The sequence below is a fragment of the Homo sapiens genome, chromosome 1, assembly GCF_000001405.40.
Source record: "Homo sapiens chromosome 1, GRCh38.p14 Primary Assembly".
Lineage (NCBI taxonomy): Eukaryota > Metazoa > Chordata > Mammalia > Primates > Hominidae > Homo > Homo sapiens.
In genome coordinates, this window is record NC_000001.11 from 175,514,803 (window position 1) to 175,537,829 (window position 23,027).

Consider the following 23,027-nt stretch of genomic DNA (forward strand, 5'->3'; position numbering starts at 1 on the left):
AGCTCTGTGAAAACCAAATGCAGTGTGCAGAGCGGGGGAGATTTCCTGTGGGGCTGGATGACTGCCCCTGAGGAAGGCAACATGGTCACCACATGGTTTGTGCTAATAGTGGTTTCCTGCTGCAGGGAAACATCTCGTCCATGCTACCCAGTCTATTTTTTTTCAGATAAAGAGTGGGAGGATAAAGAAGTTGCGATGGTGTCACTTACTGTGGGGAGACCAACTCGTTCCGGGCCAAGTCTTCACCAACTGAATGTCAGGTTATGAAAATAAACTTTTAAAATGCTTCTGCCCAGAGCTGGAGAATGGAAGTGTGGCTGCTGGAATTAGCATAAATCATGTGATCGGGTGTATTTATTTATTCAGTCATTATTTCTTGTATTCTGTCATTGGCCCATTCATTCATCAAATATTTGCTATGCATCTACCCTATGCCCAGCCTTGACAATATAAGGTGAAACACTGTGTAGTCTTACTCTCAAGGAGATGTCAATCTAGTTGAAGAGAAAGATCTGTGCTCCCGCATATAGTATTGAATGCTCTGTTCAATAATTGAGCTCTGCCCTCAGATGCTAAGGAAACATGGGCGCCTAATTCAGTCTAGGTTTGGGGGTAAAGAGGGAGTCAGAGAGGGTTTGAGGAGGAGGCAATGTTCAGGATGAACTTTAAAAGGAGAGAATTAGTTTGGAGCAGGCATTCTAGTGCAAGGAACAACATGGCACTATGAAAGAGCATAGAACATTCTGGACTTGGGTGTGGCCAGAATACAGGGTGCATTCCTATAGGGGTCTAAGAAGAGATGAGGCTGGAAAGACAAGCCTGGTCCTGAATTGTTGTGCATTCCTTGCTAAGAAAGTGAGAACAGTGAAAATGGTTAGTGAGTGTTAGGCAGGGATGTGAACAGCCACCAGGGTGCTGTGGGGAAAGTGTCCTGACAGGAGGGAGTCTGGATGCAGGTAGGCCAGATGGGAACAAAGGGAATTTCAGAGTCTGAATGGGGCTACAGGCATGGATGCTCTTTTTAAGGAAAGACTCACCTTAGGACTAAACTAAAGTGTATTCTAAATTGGGATGAGGGCTTCAAAATGTATCCAGCTCACTTGAAAAAGTATGAAGAAAATAGTAGGAAAGTGGCAAACCTGGAAGGTTCTTGTTGGTGGCTGCAATATGTTCTTTAAGCTCCAAAAGAATTTGTGGACTAAGAATGGATGGATGTGAGGACTGTTTAATATCCAATTTTATATTGTTGCTGTCTGTTGTGATTATAGGCTTGGCTCTTGGTTTTTTATTCAGAACCATTTATTCAGAAAATTTCTTATTCAGAATTCAAGTTTATTCCTCATTAATTCAGTAGTGGCTTTCTGTAACGTAGTGATTGAATTACCTAATAGCACCTGCCTGAAATGATTAACATAAGAGGAAGCCATGGGGTTGTATTTGATACAAATGATTTGTTTCCTGAAGTTGTAATTTTATTAAAGGGGGACTCAGTGAACCACCTTTGCAAATGAGGCAAGGTCCTGGTTTCCGCAAGGTACCTGGAAGGTTAATGAATGATTAGCAGCTAACAAATGACAGCGTGGCCCAGGAGGAAAGTGGCACTTCTCAAGTGGTGGGTCAGCATCCTGGAAAAATGAGGAATGGTTTCTAAGGGACTGTGTGGTCCATTTCCTGATAAGGTTGGGGACCAAGGAGAGAGGGAGAAATGACCGTGCTCATGATATCGCTCCCTGACACAGCCTCAATCTAATTGCTTGAACCATTCCCATATGGATCAAGCAGGGGTTGAACTTCTCCACTCCCTTCTGGGTTTCTGTTTCTCTGAAACAGATCCAGGCAGACTGATGCCAGCAGGACCTGAGCTTTTCCAAAGTGACTATGGCAGTATGCTAGGATCTTTCAGTTAGCTGCTGATTTAAGAGTTTGAGTCGGAGGGAACAGGAAGAATTAGGGCACTATCTATTAATAAATATTCTATTATTTTGTTCAGAAATTGAAAAAATACATTTTATTTGTAGTGCATTTTTTAGTAATTATGCCTGTTTTCTTTGTTGATAGAAGAATAAACATGTGGACATGTGCACAACTTATATGTCATATAAGGACAGAGATAATTTGTACTTCCCAAGACATAAATTGAATATTTTCATGATTTTGACACTTTTTAATCCCTGAGAATTCTGAAGCACAAATTAGTACATCTGAAAGCTGAGAGAGAGAGAGAGAGAGAGAGAGAGAGAGAGAGAGAGAGAGAGAAAGAGAGAGAGACCTTCAAATACAGCACAGTGGTGCCAACCCCTCACCTCTAAATCCATATCCATCCCCACAAGTAGAGGTGCTGAAATATCTTTTCTGGACACTTTCCCCTACCTCCCCCCAACATTTCCTCCTCTGCTCTTCTCACATATGCTTCAGCTCCTGTACTGCTTTATCTTTATATTCCAGAAAAAAATAGGGGCCTGTGGCTCAGTGCTGCCTATCGCCATAGTGGTATTCTAGGAGTTCTTTTCTGGGAGACTGTGTAAGTCAATTGTGTGACTTCACAGGGGAAAAGTACACCCATGTGCAGATGGAGGAATAGGCAGGTGGAGGATGATTTTTTTCTACCCATATTCCACTGTGAGGACTGATCTCAAAAGTTTGGTTTGTCCTACTCCCAGGAAATATGCCTTCCCTACCTCTTCCCTAATCTTCTCCTTATAAGGGACACAGGTTGGCATTTAGGCAGTTGAAAAAATGGAATAATCTCAGGGGAATTTTTTAAAATACAGATTCCTAGGCCAGTCCCCAATGGATAGAATTGGACTCGCCATGAGGTGAGACCTACGAATCTGTATTTTTGTAAAAGCTGTCCTATTGGTTTTGGTTTTAGTATAGTTAGTCAAAAAGGTAGCATTTAGGTCCCAGAGGCAGAGAACCTGTGTTTCATACACACTTCCTTGCACAGATGATAAGTTTCTTTAGCTGACTCTGATCCCTTTATTTGCTGTGCGTCTTGCTCACATCTCCACATGTGTGATGTGGGTCTGGGATCATTTGTCTGTTTTTAGCTAGTCTACCCACTGTGCATGTTTCCAGGCTGCTCAGCACGGAAACACCAGCAGCACTGGAGATCCTAGTGCATACCCATTCCCTAGGTTCCTTCCCAGAGCCCAGTGTGCTAGACAAGCACAAGAAAGAACTGCAGAGCCTTGGAGAAACAAGCTTCTAATTCTCTACTTAGGAGGAGTGTTGATGGTTTAAGTAAATAAATAAATAAATAAATATCCCCTTCATTCATTCACTTCTTCTGAAAACTCACAGATTTCCCAGATATTACATTGAAATATAATACTTCTGTAAGCAGTTGTGTTTACACATCTGTAATCATGTGTATTGTCATGACTTAAGAACAAAATTTAGATTGCAAGCTTGAATTGCTGCTTCTGCTAGGTCTGTTCATCCTGGATTGGCTCATGCACAACAAATGCCTTGTACAAGCAAGAGCAGCTGCATTAAGCCAAGTCACCCACAGGGCCAGGTCTAGTGAACGTCTCTCAGACTGTGCAGTCTTGGGACACACAAATATGTCCACACAGGTCTGTCCTCGATCCCATCCCCATTCCTCCTCTCATGTCTCCCCCTACAGTCCTAAATACCATCACAAGGCTCCTGATTTTCATGGGGTCATCATCTTTTCCATTAATGTCATTATCATATTCCAGGGTCCATTAGAACTCCTGCTGTAATGAGAACTTTGGGTGCAGCTGTTCATTACTTTCCTGGTCACCCACAGCTCTAGTTGTCATGATGAATGCTCTGCATACAATTCTCACCTGTATCACACAGTCCCTCTTGCTGCCATTAAGATGATCATCTTTTTCCCCCCATTCTGTAGTCATCACCTCATTATAACTCCATTACCTTTTAGCATCATCTACATTATAACTCCATTATCTTTCACATAGCCACCATTACCTCCCTTATCGCCCCCTCTACATTTCGGTTGCCCTCACCTTCTCCTTTACAGCCACCAGCTTTTCAATTACAGGTCCATTATCTTTATTATTACCTCAGTTACAATCATAATTGCTACCATAACAAATTTCAATGTCTTTATCCACCCCTCTGCCATGCAAGAACCTGGCCACCTTTGATAAAGCTACAGGCATCTCTATTATACACTGGACATGTAGTCCAACATCTCCATTAATGTTAGAATTCCCTTCTTTTCTTCCACCAAATCATGTTAACTACAAAATTCTGCCACTTTCTACAGCAATTTCACTATTGCCATTGTCACTCTTATTTACAACTCACTCCTTCATCCTCATTTCTCTTTCTGTAACAGCCAGACAGTAATAATCCTCATCTTAAAGACACAAACACAGTCCTCTGTTACAGTTACCGCTCTGACTCTAAGAATTCTAACTACCAATGTCTTCCTTAAGGCAATTCAAGACCATACTAATATAACTGCAGTGCATACCGGCATTTCTGATCTTCCAGTGTGTGTGTTCAGGGGAAGGAAATTGTTTACAATTGTCCTGTGTTATCCATTAAATTTTGAGCTCATGGTGGACTAGACCTCATTTCCTTCCAAGAGCACTTAGCATCTGGACAAAGTTAGCATTCAGCAGGTGTGGTTGATTGAAGGACCAAAAATGCATCACCATGCTTCCTTTATCTTTACACTTGCAGTCTATTGCTGTTGCATTGATCACTATCAAAACCTCATCAATATACTCTTTACCATTTCATTACCTCAAGCTCTTCCTCTTCATGGAGAGATGCATCTGCTCTTCCATTTCTTGGCCATTATCACAATAATTATCACAGCTTCAATTGCAGTGGCTCCATTACAATTCATTACCTCTTCTGATGAAGGAGAGATAGGTTGCTCTACAGGGGTGCCCTGCTTTCCTTTCAGAACAGCCCTCAGCTCCCACAAGGAATAGTGGTCTCTTTGCCACCAAAACTATTGTGATTTCTCCCCTAACATGCTTTCATCATTGCACAAGTGATATTTACACCCTAACTTGGAAGTGACAAGATTCAACTTACAAAAGCCTGCCTGATTTCCTTCCTGGTGTCTGGCTGTATGGTCTTGGATAAATCATTCAGGGTAGTGCTTGTGTGAAGGAGCCCTGGACTCAAACTACTTGGGTTCAAATCCCTGTTCTTCCACTTACTAAGCTGTTTGAATTCATGCAAATTATTTAGCTTTCCTGCACGGATTTTCTTATCTATAAAATGGAGATAGTAATATTTCCTACTATCGTTGGTTGTTAAGAGAAGTAAATGAGCGAATAAACATAAAGTAATCAAAAAGTGCTTAGCATATAGAAAGCACTTGATAAATCTTAACTCCTCTCAGGACTCTATTTTTTCCCTAGCTTGAGAATGAGGGTTGAGGTAGACTGAGCTCTAAAGTCCTAGGCTGAACATTTGATGGGTCTGTGATTCTGGTATCAGATGAACAGAGTTCTGGCAGAATCCTTACATTACAATTCTTAAATCATCTCCCAGCTTTATTGTTCTCTGCTGACTCAGCAGAGAAGCGTGGCACTCCCTTGGCCCATGGCCACCGTTGTTCTGCACTGGGGCTGATTTCCAGGCATTTTCTTCCTCAGGCCTAACAAACAACTTGCTGTGGTTTTGCCACTGCTGGACTTAGCCACATACTCGTATATTCACCCTGCCACCTGGCCAACTTCACAAATAGCCCTGCTCTGTTTTTCCATATTAAACAATGCTGAGCCTTCTCAGGTGGCACTTGAACATGTCCAACTTTAATGTTGGAGCTATCCAATCAGTCAGGGCTGCTCCAGGCCACATAGCCAAGGATACAGAGTTTGATTCTGGCTTTGTTGCATTGTGATTTTCCTGCTCTTCTCTCTCTCTCTCTCTTTCTCTCTCTCCCTCTCTCCTCCCTTCTGGCTATATTTTCTCCCCTTCTTCTCCTCATTAGCCATCCACGTTCACCACTTGCATCCACCACCCTCAATCCTGTCTTTCCTAGCAGGGTGCCATGTTCTAAAATTATTTTTCCCTCTCGTTTCATCCTTATTTCTCCTCTTCTCTGCTTTTTCCTCCTTCTGTGGTCCTTAGACAGAAATTCTACTAACATAACCAGCATTCCATTGTGGATAAACAAGTCTCTCAGAGGACACCTACCTTTCTGAAGGGAAATCTGGAAGAGGCAACACCTTGACAAGAACATACCTCAAATAGTAGGATTTCAGACAACCTGGCAGAACCGGTGTTACTCATTTGTTAGTTTGTGTCCTTTTCTTAAAATTGGGGTGGGGATGAGGATGGGATGGGGAGTAATTTGAGGGGCAGGAAGATTCCACTGTGCCAATCAAAACACATTTTGTTGGCGATATCCTGCTCTCCATAGAACCCTTCGAAATGTATTTAATATATTGTCCTTACTTTACCAATCTCTTCATTTCTCACAGAGCCTCCTAGAACCTCCAGCTAATGAAGCCATCTCATTTGTTGTGGAGCTTCTGAGGGTTCTTTACACCCAATTGTTAGTCATACGAGAATTCAGTTGTCAATGGTCACTCTGAAGGGTGTGATGTTTTCAGTGTAAACAGCATTCCTCTCAAGTAAACATGAGGAAAAAGATGCCTCACTTTGTGATTACTGAGGCAACAAAACCCGACTGGCTCTGGTCCAATTCTGCGTAGATCACTGGGACCGCAGAAATATTTTCGGCCTCTAAATTGTTGGTCTTTGGCCAAGGCAATCCAAGGGTTGGCACAGGTGCCCAGGGAGATGTGAGTGGTAGCTGCTCTACCATCAACATCCTCAGAAACCTTTTCTGTTTTCTCTTCTCTTTCATCTCCTCCTTTTGTTCTTACTTTTTTCCTCTTACTTTTTTTCATAGTCTGAGGTGTCATGCTCATTTGGCCTTCCTGGGTTTGTATCACCTCTATTTTCAAGGCCCAGCTCAATGATTGTGGCCTCTCCCATGAGGTTTTCTCTGGTCTCCTCCTCTCCCATGAACCCTGTGACACTTGCCCTGTTTCTGCTTTCACTACTGTAACACAGCCAATGCCAGGAAGTAGTATTTAGGGCTTGATTATATTGTCATGCACTGCTATTTTGTTTGTTTCCTGGGTTTAGAATTGCCCTCTTGGATAAATTCTTAGCCCCTGGAGTGCAGCAAGCATGATACATACTTCTTTTGTGTGGACTGTGATGCATACTTTTATATTTGACACAAAAATTACTCAACAAAGACTTGCTTAACTATGCCTTCTACTCCTTTCTCTTAATTTTCCTTTAGCTGCCTTGCATTTCCTTTTATCCACCCCACTCCACTTCTCCTTTTTTTTTCTCCTGCCTAAATGCCACAGGCTGGCGGCACTCGAAGCCACTGCTTAAGTGTGCTGGATGCCATGTGGGCTTAGAAGATTTCTGACTCCTAGTTTCCTAGGAGCTAGGGATTGTGTCTAAGAGTGAAAACTCGGGTACCACAGTAGATAGGGCTAACTCATGGCCAAAGTCTTTTGGTTTGAAACATCGTATGTTCTCACTCATAAGTGGGAGCTAAGCTATGAGGATGCAAAGGCATAAGAATGACACAATGGACTTTGGACACTCAGCATGAAAGTGTAGGAAGGAGATGGGGGATGAAAGACCACAAATTGGGTGCGGCATATACTGCTCAGGTGATGGGTGCCCCAAAATCTCACAAATCACCACTAAAGAACTTACTCATGTAACCAAACATCACCTGTTCTCCAATAACCTATGGAAATAAAAAATAAAAAAAAATTGCTTTCTTAAATAGAACTTATGCAAAACTACAATCTGTAGGCAAAACAATGAAGTTGACACAGTATGTAGTACTGGAGGAAAAAAAAGAATCATTTGGTTTGGCATGAGACAGAGAGGCTAACCTCAGGGTTGTAAAAAGATGCCCCCCCACAAAAAATAAAGCTGTTATGAGGCCATTTAGGTCCACACATAAAGAAACTCATTCACAAAATTGTAAGTTCTGGTTCACTCATTATGACATATTTGTTAACAATATAGATACTTTCATTTGGGGAAATCCAGACAATTTAAATTTGTCTTTATGGCATACCAATGGATAATTTTATAAAGCTTTTTCACCAGAAATACGGGTCCTGCCTATGATCAATTCTCATCTGTATGTTGGAAAGCAATTTCAGTAAGTACTTAGCTTAATCAATTTGTATCTGCACATTGACCTTCGGGACTCTGCACGTGGGTCCCATCATGCAGCGTGCTCTGCAATTCTCTGTCTCTTTAGACAGCATATTTCTCAATATTTGTACATGGTTTTCATATTCAATCAATACAATCATCTGTTCTCTCCTTTCAACCACTTCCCTTGACTGGGGAGGTGAGAATCCAGCAGCGCCTCTGTCACTTGTGTGTATTAGAGAATACTTGTTTACCATTTCCCCAAAACCTGAAGAACTGCAAAGGTAGTGGGGCATTGTGGGATAACAAAAATAATGTGAAAAATAAAAATAAATTTATAAGCTTGTTTACACAATTATGCAAATGATGAGCACTTATACATGGCTGATTCCTCAATTATTCATGGTTTGAAGCCCTTGAAAATTCAATTCAACTAAATAACCTTTTCTTCGGCTCTTATTATGAGAAAGGTACTGTAATTTGAGGAAAGGGAGACAAAGATACAACTTGATAAGGAACGTTAGAGAAATACACAAATGATTGCAATACAAGTTGAATAAGCACAGTAAGAAAAAGTACAATACGTGCTCTGAGGGTTTAGTGCAGAAGAGATAACATCTGTTTGGGTGGATTCATGGAGAACGGAGGAGATTATGTTAGAATCCCCTCTTCTCCATCCTTAGCACAGGTTATTTTGGTTGAGGTCTGTATCACCTCTCATCTGGACTATTAGAGCAACTTCCTATTTCATCTGCCCCTCTAATTGCTGTGTCCTGAGTGATCTTTCTAAAGGCAACATGATCATGTCACTCCTGCCTTTAAACCCTCTATTGTTCCCATTGTTTGCAAGAAAGGGTTAAAGTTTCTCAGGATCTCCACTCAAAGTCTAAATGTCTGTCATTCTGTGAAGCCTCAATACTCCTTGCCTCCCTGCCATGTACATAGCAGCGTCTACACGTCAGGCTGCTTTGGTCCCATGATCTCAATGACCTTGCCCATGCTGCTCCTCCTACTGGACTGGCCTCCCTCTTCTCTCTTTTTCTCGTTTCTCTTCTTGGGTCCCCCATTTGCTGGAGAACTCCTTTGACAATTTCCTTGCTGCCCCCTCCCCCAAGACAGGGCTAATAATGATTCCCACCCTGCCTCTCTATAGTGCATAGCCTCACCATCTCACTATCACACCGTAGTTAGGCGTGAGGGAGGCATGCCTTGCCTTCCTTGTAAGAGTGTGTCCTCCTTGTGTTCAGAGTCCAGATGGGGTGTGGCACCTAGTATATGCTACATGCATGTCTGCCGAATTATGTTGAATTTGTTGCACGGGTAGGTAGGATGCACTGCTTTCCATAGGATTCAGGGATAAGTAAATGGTGAGAAGTGAATGGAGAATGTTCTTCCCTGGAATCCAGGACAAGAGAAAGAGAGAGAGAATCAGGAAATCAAGGGAAAGCTTTTTGTTTGTTTGTTTTAATGGAGACCAAGTATTGTTTACAAGCAGAAGAAAAAGAACTTACAGAGAGTGAAAGAAAATGCAAGTGAGGAAAGGAGAGCAATGGGTGGATCAGGCTATAGAGGAGAAGGGTAAGGAAGAGACCAAGGACTCATTGGAAGAGTTAGTTGTGGCCAGGAGGAACCCTTTCTCTCCAGAGACAGGACAAAAGCAAGTTGGGCAGGATGATTGCACAGAAGCATTCTGAGAAGGAGAGTGAAATTGAGCAAGCTCTTTATAGCTCCAGGCTTAGCGAAGGAGGAGGTGAGTTTGCATGTAAACTGCCAGTTGATGCATCCAATGCCATTACATTTTGCACATGTAAAGCATAAGATGTTGAGAGCAAACACAAGTACTAGGAAGGTACTTGGACAAGCAGTCGCCTGTTAGATAATATGGTCTTAATGAAAGCCTTGTCACAATGGCACAGAATGCTTAATTTCCTGAGATGTGGGTAGGCCAAGGCCTGGAGGCTCTGCCAAGACCTCCTCTGATACTCCTCTTTCCCCTTCCATAGTGATATGGTTTGGCTGTGTCCCCAACCAAATCTCATCTTGAATTGCAGTTCCTATAATTCCCACATGGCATGGGAGGGACCTGGTGGGAGGTACTTGAATCATGTGGGCGGTTACCTCTATGTTGCTATTCTCATGATGGTGGGTGAGTTTTCCTGAGATCTGACAGTTTTATAAGGGGCTTTTCCCTTTTTGCTTGGCACTTCTCCTTCCTGCCATCATGTGAAGAAGGAGGTGTTTGCTTCCCCTTCTGCCATGATTGTAAGTTTCCTGAGGCCTCCCCAACCATGCTGAACTGTGAGTCAATTAAACCTCTTTCCTTTATAAATTACCCAGTCCCAGGCAGTTCTTTACAGAAGTGTGAGAACAGACTAATACACATAGGGAACAGCCATTTGAGCTCTGACTGATCAGAGGTTTGGCATAGAGTCAAACACTGCAATTCTGGAGTTGTACTTTGTTCAGCCTCCTCAACCTAGTTTTACCACGCAGGAAAGCAGACATTTACACTCTAACTGTAGTTTCTGATCAAAGCCATAGTTTAAATGGATTACAAGTAATTTCCTCCTGAAACCCCTCAAGAGTTCCTGAAATCTGGGGTGAGTTTTGGACTGGCAGGGCCAGTGCAGGAAAAGTGGGTTTGCCCACAGCGATGCCCAAGCCCCGGGTGCCCTCCTTCACCTACCTGGCTCCTTGGAGTCCTTAACATCCCTCCAGGGAAATATGGTGGGCCGTCGTTCCCCACCTGAGTGCTAATGCTCAAGGGTTAAGCTCAAGGTTTAGCTTCTCTTGAAAGTCTGTAAGAGCAGCTACATTTGTTAAGCATTTCACAAAGAAGCTTAAATTCAGGAACACCTCTTTCATGACCACCCATATACAGAAGGGCAAATCGTGTTTTTAGGAGTTTCAAGATTTAATTCTGGGGGTAGCCAGGTGCCTAGTTTGGTTGGGGCAGTATAGCAAGCAGATAACTCGGTTTGTTTGCCTGTAAGAATATATTTACCTAAACATTGAACCATTTGTTTATGTCCACTTTTGCTGGTTTTTTTTTTTAAATTCCCCTTTCCCATTTTGCTTTTATTTTTATAAAATCTGACGGAAGGGTATTAAGTTGAAAGGCTATATCTATTTGGCTTGATAAGTGTGTTTTTCCTTTTTGGGAGTGAACCCACCCATAAGAGTTACAGAGGGTGCTGAACATATTCATAAAGTGAAACATTCATATTTCTGACTATCTTACATTATTCTCAGCCAAAGTCAGGTACTAACAGCATTAATATCAAAGTAAATGGCTAAATAATAGTTGCTCAATAAAGGTTATTGTCTGGAACTGAAAGTTATCATAAGGTGTGGGGGTATAGAGTGAAGCTTTTCCATAGATTATCACAATTGAAGGACAGAACTCTGTCCTGGGCCCCTTCCCCCAGATTACCATTTTTTGAAAATGCATGATCATGGAGACATATCTACACAGAGAATCACAGACCTTTAGAGATGAAGGGCACCTTATGGACACACACAAACCCAGTTTTAGGCTGCAAAACGGGAGAAAGTAGTACGGTACTTCAAAACCTGTCTGCAGTACAGAACAGGCTTGAAGCTGGGAGCTCAACTCCCCAAATATCACATTTATCTCAATTTGGCAAGAAGCTGAAAACCTATCTGGGACCATTTAAATTCTAATGTTATTAAGGGCTCATCTAATCAGCTTTTAAAATAAGCTGCTTCAAATGCATGGGAAATGAAGGTGAGATAGAAGCAGGCAAGCAAGGCAGTTCAGGCCAGCCTGTGAGCACCTGGGTTTGAATTGCCAAGGAGCCATGAGGGGACCTGGCTGCCTACCTATTTGGTAACTCCTGCAATTCCAACACCAAGCCATGCTAGTGAAAAGTGATTTGTAAGTGTGTGGGGAAGGGGACTAATCTGGACAAGCTATGTTCTCCTGTGAGGTGGTTCAGACACATGTGACAGGCTTGGCCGGGAAAGATGGACTGCCCTCTGTGCCAGGAGGTGGCTTTGAGATTTAATCAGCAGGGTTTGTCAAATATTCTTTTATCCACACAAGTGCTTTCCCTGAGCAGAGTGCAGGTCAGTAAAAATGTCTTCATTGTAATACACTGCCAGTGTTGCTTTCGCGACAGGCAACCTTAGCCGTTGGTACACCCTGGTCCACCTTCCATGTCTGCTTGGTTGCAGAGAACTTGATCTGAACCAGCTGGTATCCTAGAAGCAACAAATTAACCAATTCTCCCTTAAGTGTGAATGGTTGATAGCCAGCGTGATGTGATGATGTCTCTTGTGAATTGGAATGTTCAAAGGTGTTTTAAATGGCATGGGGTACTTTGTAGTCAAGTGCCCCCAAGGAAGGCAGGCTGCCACTGAGGGTGTTCTGGGCTGATTCAAACATGGGGCTTCAGAAAAGACTTGCCTTAAATCTGTAGAGTAGCATGAGGGATACTGAGACTGTAGTGAGTCTAAGGAAGAAAATGAGCTCCCGAACAAACTTTTCACAACAAACTTAAGCTGTATAACAAACTGTATAACAAATACAGAGAGAAGACTGGTGGCTATATTATTGTTTTGTGCAATAAAAAACGGCCACACCTGTTTGAAAAGTTCCCAGTTCAGTATATCAAGTTTGAGTGCCATGGAAAGTTATTAAAGGAGCAAAATATTCACTGTGCCTGACAACTCTATGAATCCTAAGAGCCTTCTCCTGTGGACCATTTTTTAGAGGTTATTATTTCAACCTGAAAATTCTTTAGACATATATATGTGGTATGAAAAAGGAATTAGGAAAGCTTTTAAATTAAAGGAAATAAAATGACAGGTTTTTCCTCCAGCCATATAGTTATGGATAGAGATAAAGAGATGGATATTTTTTCATAATACTTTATTAGGGGTTTTGGAACTCCAGAAATTTTAGAGCGAGACTGGTGAATAATTTATCACTGATTCATGCGGGCCCAGTGCAGGCACAGGCAGGCTGGGAGTCAAGTCTAGCTTCTTGGAGGGACTGAGCACAGTAACACACTTTCATTACCAACCGCATCATGAAATGCATTCAGAAATATTTTATGAGAAGCCAAAGCCTTGGTACCCGGTTTCTCCAGCTTTTTCAGAGACTGCATGAAGCCCAGAGGAGCTAATGCTGTTGACCACCTCATTTCAAGGAGACTAGCCCCCAGGGTGTTGTTCCAGTAACAAAAGGTCTCAGATCCCTGGGAATATGCAGTTACATATGAAAGCCACAGACTGGCCATGGGAATGATGAATGATCAAATGTTCACAGGAAATACCTTTTGTGATGGTGTCTTCGATGCTTTCTCTTTACTGCACTTTCTTTAATCCTAATTCCAAAAGAGACCTGCCCTCTATGCAGTTAAAACGATACAGCCACCTGAAACAGAAATAAGGGAGGGAAGAAATATATTAATGGTTTCAAAATAAGAAACCCTGGTTTCCCTTTCTATTCTAAGTACCACATCGCCTTTAAAATAAATTTGTAGGTGCACCATGTGAATTTCCAAAGCAAAGAAAATTGTTGCTTAGTTGCTTTTTCTCTCCAGAGACTTTCATTTATTTCATTGATTTTCTTTCATTCATTCTCATAGTTTTCAATAAAAAGGAAAATATTTGAGGTAAACAAATCTATGGAATGATTATAAATCCAGAAATGTGCTTTAGGTTTTTGAAAGTGACTGTAATAACATGCTTAGCTGATCTGATTATGACAAATGCTTGACACTCCCTCCAAAAGGCCTCCCATACAAACCTCCTCCCCAACCTGACCCCCTCTTATGTCCTTAATGTCCTTGGCACTCTAAGCATTCCTATGTTGTGAAAATCTCCATGTACTATAAACCTCTTTATTTGTGCCATGCTCACTCTGGACTCCCAACTCTTCAGGGTCAGAGTCTTCAACTTTCTCACTGCTTTAGTTCCTGTCCCAAGCACAATGCCAGTGCATAAAAGTTCAACAAAGAAGGAATAAATGCATGCAAAACAAAGTAATTCTCCCAGATTAGAACAACCTCCAACAGAAGCAGTGGCATCGATTGTTAAGTGAGAGCCTTCTGAGTAAGCAAATTTGTCAGCTTCTGTAACCAGGGGTCCTACGCAGATCTTCAGCCAGGCCTCCGCTACACAATTTCCAAGGAAGTGTCAACACAGTTGGTGGCTCGATAATTATGCCTTCAAGGGCTTGCTTCTCACAAACCCTGCTAAGCCTTCTCCAAATGGGACACTGAGCCCCAGGGATATCATTTATAGGTGCTTCAAGAGGATGGATTTGCAAAAATCAGGCGACATCTGAGAGAGGAAGAAGCAAGCATTTGGCTGAGGTAGAGGCTTGCTCATCTAAGACATCTGTGAATAAATTAACCTTCCCTGGAGGACCTCATGAAACCCTCAGAATTGGAAGAAGTGTAAAGATTATTTAGTTCTGGAAGGGCAAACATTTTCCATCTTGAGTGAATACTCCAGTGCATCCACTGTGGCTGCCTGGCGAGTGGGGACAATAATTCTGAGGTGGCATCACAGGGAAAGAACTGGTCATCAATGGGTTTGCCAGGGCCCAGGACTGGGAGGTGTTGCAGGTGATATAAATGCCAGGTATTTTTCTCTTCCAATTCTAATCTGGCTGCTCACCAAATGGAAGAATCGCAGGTTCTTTGGACAGTGTAATTTAGATGGTAGCTGCCCACAGATTGCAGCCTATTTGGGGGGCAGATAGCTCTGAGACTAGAAAATCTCTTCTTCCATGGAATTACAACTCCCCCTCCTGTTTGCTTCCACCCACTGACCTTTCTTTTCCTCATCCTCACCTGTGAGGTGCTAACCTCACTCTCAGAAAGCTTGTCCAATATCTTTTGAACCAACTGCATCAAAAGTCATGAAAAAAATTATGAAAATCCCCTTCACTTGAGTTTATTAAAAACACCGGGTACTTTTGACATGCTATTTTATTGTTACCTATTTCTCCAACTAGATGTAGGCACAGTTATTCACTCATTCAACTAACATGTTTATTACATTTTAAAGTTCTTCATTTGATATTCCTAAAATTATAAAAGTGACACATGCTTATTATAATAAAAAAGTCAATATAAAAATGTATGCAGAAGACGCTAATCGTTTCTCCCAATCTCGGTTCCTTAAGTAACATTTTAATACACTGGTAAGTATCCTTCCACACTGTCATAATTCCCAGGAAACAGCTTGAGACTGGATATGCACACAGAAGGCTTACTGAGACTTACTCCTGAGGGCTACGGCACCTGGGGGAAGTACAGGAAGTGGAACTGGCCAGAGGGAACGTTGGAGGTGTCCTGCATTGAAAAAGGATCCAGGTCTTAGGGCCCCACACACACCCGCCTCTCTTTGGCTCTGGGCTGCCCCCAGGGAGAGGATGGGCAAAGCAGCTCTTTTTGGCTGGTGGTGATTCCTGAAAAGGGACTCAGCTGTGAGCTGTCAGCAGCCAACGCTCCCAGCAGCTGCAAAATTGAGTGCCTCAGTTGGGTGGTGTCTCAAAGCACCCAAATATACACCCTCCCTTTTGCTCATTTAAACCTAATTATGCATATATAACAGATATATGGGATGTTTTTGTTTATAGTTTTTAACTGAAATACTCTGCAACTTGCTTTGACTTAACATACAAACATCATCATTTTTCCTCTAATTTGTTTATGCATACATACACATACTTTTACAAGATTATACTATACATGTAGAATTTTTAGTGCACTCTCTTTTTTTTTTCTCCATTGCTTGCCTCTCTCTACCTCCTCTTCTTCCCTGAACTATCCACATTACCTCGGCCCCTGTGTTGGCAGCATGGAGTACATCCTTTTAGACTTCCTTTCACGCTCATTTAACCACATATATACATATGTGAATGTGGATATGTGCACTTATTTACTTTTTTAGTCATTGGCAGCAACCATTTACTGAGAGCCTTGTGAGTACCCAGGCCCATGCCAGGCACCAGGAATATGAAGAAGAGGATACAGCCACCACCTGCAAGAAGCTCCTGTCTTTGAGGGAGAGGGACATGGGAACTTGTCAGGGCATGCACCTCCAAAGTGATTTAGAGGAATAGAATTAGAATGTGGGGTTTCTGTATTCCAGTCCTATCCTCTTTTCCACTTAACCAGTTTTATTTATTTAAACGGGTTTCCAACTGTTGGCTGAGCAACTGCCAAACTGAAGTGGAGTGTGTGTGCCAATCTTCCTGAAGTCATTACCACACTTGTTCTGATAGAATGAAGCTCATCGTGAACCCCATATACTGGCCCTTGTGATATAAACACGCATTACCTCACTAGTAGATCCACTTAATTTGATGAACAAGTCCTACAGCCCTAATGATATCACACAAAGGCCTTATCTTAAGATAGATTCATATAACTGGTGACAAGGCAAAGGATTATTATCACAGCCATTCTTGAAGCTGATGTGTCTCAAGGTAGTCATATATTCCTGCAGCAGCAAGTTCTAGAGGCAAAACCACTGGCTTAGACAAATATGGGGTACAGGGCTCATGGTCCCAAATCCTTTTAGCTTACACAGTTTCAGAGGGACCCGAGGGAGAGGGGAAGTGGCACCCCAAGAGACATACACAAAAGTAAAGAGCATGCTGACCTGACTCTCCAGCAGCTTCAGTAAATGGGTGTGTTCTTTCTGTCCACGCTGCAACCTACTCATTTACCTGTATGTACCCTTTCCAGTGCTCTGCATTATCTGGGGTCAACTTGCAACAGCTCATCTTTGGAAAAAACATCCTATGAAATATGTCTAGAAAATGTGCATTATATTTTCCTTCCTCATCAAGTGCTGACCCCTCTGTAACACAGGTGAGTTCAGCCATCAGAGGGGATTGGCTTGGACTTTGTAGCATGGGCTCCCTGCCCCTGACTGCCTAGGCAAGAGCTGAGGATCTGGACAGTCCAAAAAGTGCAGCCCAAGAGACTCTGTTGACCTCAATCACAGATTTTTCTCCAGGGCTTTGTGTTTTTGTCCTCTTTGGCTTAGGTGAGTCATGGACTTTAGAAGAAAGACACCTGCTGGGCCAGGTGAGATCCAACAATCAAAAACTGCAGAGATTTCAGACTTCACAGTAACAGTTCTTTTTGACATCCAGTATAAACCTTGTTGCTTGAAAGGTTTTGGTTGATGTACTGCAAATTGCTGGAGATGTTCCAGTAATGGATATTTGATCCCAAGGATGCTGATCAGCTATAGACAAGATTGCCCAATACCCCAAAGTATGGTCAATTTATTTTGTTCTCAATTCTCACAGCAGTTGGTTGCTGAACAATGGATCAGATTGTGAACAACCTTCAAGTTGTTCTTAGTCATCTTAATGTGAAAATGGGAAATTTAGGCAACTGTTGGTGATCTGACCCATATTCTGCTTCTAAATAAACAAGGCTTCCTACCAGGAGGGATCTTGAATGGCTGTTATTTCAGACTCCTACTTTCAGGCATACAAATGTGAATGTTTCTTAGAGGGATTTCTCTGACCCACTGGTATTGGCAAGGCTTTGCAATTCAGCAGAGTGTAAGAAGTTCATGAATTCTCCATTTATCTACTGATGCATAACAAATTACCCTAAAACTCAGTGGTTGAAAATAATAAACATTTATTATCTCATAATTTCTGTGGGTCAGGAATTCAGAAGCAGTTTATCTGAGTGGTTCTGGCTCAGGGTCTCTCACGAGGTTTCAGTCAAGATGTTGAAGGTTGCAGTCTTCAACCTGGTAGGAATAGAGGATCTGCTTCCAAGATGGCTCGTTTGTGTGATATTGGTCATTGCAGGAGGCCTCAGCTTCTCCCCATGTGGGCTTCTACAAGGGTGCTTGAGTGTCCTTACAACTTGGTGGCTAGCTTCCCCGAGAGTGAACAATCTGAGAAAGTGCACGGTGGAAGCCACAGTGTCTTATAAGACTAAGCTCACCATCATTTCTGCAAGATTCTATTGGTATGCAGGTTAGCCCCATTTAATGAGGGAAAAAGCTGCAGAAGGGTATGAATGCCACAAAGCAAGGATCAACTGGGGGTCATCTTGAAGGCTAGTTGCCACAAATGCTTTGCGCTTTTGCTTTGTCAATAATGGTAAAGACAAGGAAAAAGACATTTCTCTTTCTTGTACCTACCTGGAACTACAAATGAAAAGTGTAACATTTGGCTCAAATCCTAGCTCCTACCAGCCACAGACTTGGAAAGGAATTTACTGAATCCCTCTAAGCACTTATTTTCTAATCTGTAAGATGGGAATAATAATATTTCTTTACGGGGTTGCTAAGAGAATTTACTTAGGTAATATATGTAAAAGTCGCAGCTCAGTGTGCAGCAGAAGGAAGGAACTCGAAACTTCTTAGTTCCTTTCCCTTCTCCCACATTCTTTCCTCTCAGGGTCATGGTGTAACAACTGAATGCTGTAGTTAAATGGCTAGTCCTCAAAGTCAGCCTTCCTCCCCACTCACCCGACACCACCCTGTTTTGTAAATCCAGGGAAGGGCTCAGCCTTGGCTATTTAGGTTTCTCATTTCCTGAGGAAGATTTGCTGAGGCTTAATAAAGTCAGGATGTGTGAGAGACGCTGAAGTTCTTTCATATCTTAATTAGCAGTTAATTAAGTGGAGGTGCTGGTGTCTGGAATATCTGACAGACAGAGTCCATAATTATCTTTTATTATTATTACTAATGGAAAATATGATCAGGGAGTTCAAGTTTTCCCAGAATCTCAGGTTTAATTGAATGACCCAGTGGAGGATCAAAATGAACAGGCTGCCCTTTCCACATTGTTTTATTAAAAATATTTTGAAATTGAGTGGTGCCTTGCATGCAGGAGCTTTGTTGGTGATCTTTAACTAGGCATAGAGGAAGCTTGGTGTGCTACCATGGGGTTGCAGGGTCCCTCCAGAAAAGCACACAGTCACATTTTGATGACTGTACCAGCAGCATTTTATTAACACCCCGCTCCTCCTCCCAGGGAAGGTCTTGGTTTGGAGGTCAGAAGACATTGCTTTAAGGTCTGAACTGAAGAAGAGAAGAGAGGAGCTTTTTAAATGTTGCCATAATGATATTGGCCTCAGTCTTTTAGAAGTTGCATCCAGGAGGTGCAGCAAATCCCTAACTTATGTTGGTGGCTCAACAACCTCATGCTCACACAAGAGCAATGGACCATCCTGGCTGAGGCTGGCCATGCCTGGAGGACTCACAGGGTTGGGTGTCCTGAGGGATGTTGAGGAAAGCAAGCTGGGGCCTGCCTCCCTTGTGTCCTGAATTCACATGGGGTGGACCCTCCACAGAAGTTGCTTGACAATGACTAGACAAGCCATTCTAAGCCTTCAGTCTTCTAGAGTTTCCTTGGGACAGCTGAACATATGTCAGACTACCTTCTCACCTCAGAGAGAGCTGCACAGTGTCACTATCCACACACAGGTGTGTGTTTGTGCAGATTGTATCACACCTCCTAGATTTAGTGCTACCTCATTCTCCTGATTTCTGAATGGATTATTTGAATGAGTCCTCACACACTGCCCAAGTGCATCAGGGCTCTGACCCCGGTATCTGGCAGGTTCTAAGTGGTGTCAGTTGGTATCCTTTATCTAGTGAGCAATTTCCATTATTCATAATTCAGGATTCAGACAAGACATTCATCAGGTCTAACAAGAGATTTGAGATCTGTGGGACAGCTGGTACTAGAGGGGCTGCAGGATTCTGGCTTGGCTTCTGGGCTGCTAAGGCAAAGACTGGCTTGCCCTGCCTATAGTGGCTGATATGGTTTGGCTCTGTGTCCCCACCCAAATCTCACCATGAATTGTAAGAATCCCCACATGTCAAGGACACTACCAGGTGGAGATAATTGATTCATGGGGGCAGTTTCCTCCATGGCTGCTGTTCTCATGATAGTGAGTGAGTTCTCAGGAGATTTGATGGTTTTATAAGGGGCTTTTCCCCCTTTGCTTGATACTTTTCTCTCTTGCCACCATGTGAAGAAGGACATGTTTCCTTCCCCTTCCACCATGATTGTAAGTTTCCTGATCTGTGGAACTGTGAGTCAATTAAACCTCTTTCCTTTTAAATTACCCAGTCTTGGGTATTTATTCATAGCAAAGTGAGAATGGGCTAATACAGGGGCCATGCTGAGAAGGGCAGAAGCCCTTTTCCAGAAAGGGGGCTGCATGTAGTTTCTGGCCTATATTTGTGGTGCTTAGAGTTGGCTCCTTGCTGAAGTCCCTGATCAGCATTCCCTGTTCCTCAATGTCCCTCCAAGTGAAGAAGTTACAATCGAATAATCCTACCTGCAGCAGATTCAGTGCATGAAAAATAGATTAGCAACGAGCTCCACGTCTCAACAGTTAAACTACTATACCAAATGTTAACAGTGGCTCTCTCTGGATGGTGTGTTTAAATCTTTGTCTTTTTCTGCTTTATCTGTATTTCTTTTTTATTTATTTATTTATTTTTTGTTGTTGTTGTTGTTGTTGTTGTTGTTTTGAGACGGAGTCTCGCTCTGTCGCCCAGGCTGGAGTGCAGTGGCGCGATCTCGGCTCACTGCAAGCTCTGCCTCCCGGGTTCACGCTATTCTCCTGCCTCAGCCTCCCAAGTAGCTGGGACTATAGGCACTCGCCAACATGCCCGGCTAATTTTTTTTTTTTTTTGGTATTTTTAGTAGAGACGGGGTCTCACTGTGTTAGCTGTATTTCTTAACTTTGGTATAATGTTTATATTTGGCTTTGGTAATGAGAAAATAAATATTTTAAAATTTTAGAAAGGATGGAGTTTAGAAAGCATTATTTCATCAAGCTTTATGGCAGTGGTTCTTATCCTGGGGTTCACAGAGGGTCCATGAACTTATACGGAAAAAACTGCATCTTTAATTTCATCAACCTCTAGCTAAAATTTAGCAGCTCCTCTAATTTTAAATGTAGGCAGCAAGTCACAGTAGTATCAGCAGAAACTATAATTTTTCACCAATAGAAATCACAGATATTTTTATATCTCATTACAGTTGTTGCAGATATGTTGAAATATTGTTTAAGCTTATTACTAACTTCAGAATCACACTAGTTATTAGACCTGCCAGCAGATCTTGTTATTTACTGTGTTAATAAAGAAACACATATATTACTATACCACAAATCTGTTTTTTAATATTTTGATAGCAATATTTCAATAAAAAATGCAGTTTCCTTTGTAATCTTATATATTTTATTTTATACATTTATACCATTATTTTGAGAAGGATTCGTGTGCTTCACTAGGCTGGTTGAATTTTTTCAACCATGCCTTTTTTATGGCATGATCCATATTTTTTATGGACCAAGCCATTAAAAAGGGTCAGAACCCTGGCCTTGGGAGGAAGAAATGACTGGCATCTGTGGACATTGCCATGGCTAGGGCCTGGGTGTCCTGGGCACTGACCTGCAGAATCCTCACAAAGAGTTAAGAAGGAAAGTTCCATCATTATCCCCATTTTACAGTCAGGAAACTGAGACACAAAGTGATTGTGTAACTTGCTCAAGGTCACTGAACTTCCAAGTGGCAGAGCTGAAATGAGAGCTCAGGCAGACAGGATCCAGATGGCCTCCTTTGTCCTTCCTTCTGGTAGCACCACAGATGAGTCAATGTTTAATGTACTCCTTCATGTGTTTGTGTGAGGCCGGGTTATCCACTGATGCCTGGAAGTTTGAGGGCAGTGTTTTTGACCTTCTCAGCTAGAATACAAATAACTCTAGGGCAGCAGAGTCTGGGCTGAGGTTTTTGGTCATCTCTTCCAGGCACCAAAGGAAGTGGAATTAAGGAATTCTACTTCTCTGAGCACTAGGATAATTAGCAAATATTATAGAAATTCAGTCATTGAAGGCACCCACTAACCCCCAATTCATGTTTGGGCCCCATATTGGGAATGTCCTTCTTGGCCAAGTGGGCCCATTCTTCTTGGGATGAGCCTTCCTTCAAACTGGGAGTGCTCCCTAGCCTCCACTCTGTCTCTTCCCCACTCCACCTTCCATTCCCACTTTTTTGCCCACAGCCTCTCTGCATCTAAAGGAAGCAGGAAGTTCGGGTGGCCAAAGCTTGACAGAGACAAATGTTTCATTACCAGGAGGCTTTGGTGCACGATCGTTAAGTGATCACCAAACCTGGAATGCCACATTGGAAGGGCACCCCTTGGAGAGCACTTAATGGGTCCTAATTGCATTTGCTAGCCATCAATCACCAGGGTAATTTCCTGTCTTAAGACATGTGCTCTCCTCAGTGAAAGAGCCAAAAATGAGGCCAAAAATGAAAGAGAAAGCTTCAGAATGAAGGAGAGTTCTGGTCCTCTCTTCACCTGATATAAAGCCCTTCCTTGCCCGGGTGTGGACCTAGGGGAATATTTCTTCTCTCCTTTAAATGGCTCTTGTAGGGCAGGTAATTGCTTACTCAGTGCTTGGCTGGCAAAGTTGTGACCTTCAGGAGCAGAGCCTGAGTACATTTTTTCCTAATGGTGGCTCTCAGGCCATCCTTCAAGGTAGCCAGTTCCCACCAAAGGATCTGACTTGAGGGACTGACCTGACTGGCCCAGGAATCTCTGTCATCTCAGAACAAGTTCAATTTTAATTTGCTTGATATCATCATCTCCCCCGGATCTGCATTTAAGAGGGGATGAGTTGCTAGAATGATAAAAGCTTGACTTTCCAGGCATTTGATGAAGGACTCTGGGTTAGGTTGGGCTGTGAGCCAAAACCCTTCTGTATCCCCATCAGTCAACCTGAGAGCAGAGAACAGAGGATTCTCCGAGCAGATGGCACAGATAGCACCTAAGTCCCTCTCCCTCGTCAGGGGCCAAGCCAGGCATCTGTGTG

At 42.6% G+C, this 23,027-nt stretch overlaps 1 protein-coding gene across 2 annotated transcripts in view; it reads right to left on the minus strand.

Annotated features, from left to right (window-relative positions):
- The window catches only part of TNR (tenascin R), a 428,402-nt gene that overhangs the window by 199,609 nt on the left and 205,766 nt on the right, over positions 1–23,027 (minus strand). For both annotated transcript variants that reach the window (NM_001328635.2, NM_003285.3), the window contains exon 2: positions 13,467–13,567. The gene's annotated coding sequence lies outside the window, so the exon portion shown is untranslated. The remainder of the gene's footprint in view (positions 1–13,466; positions 13,568–23,027) is intronic.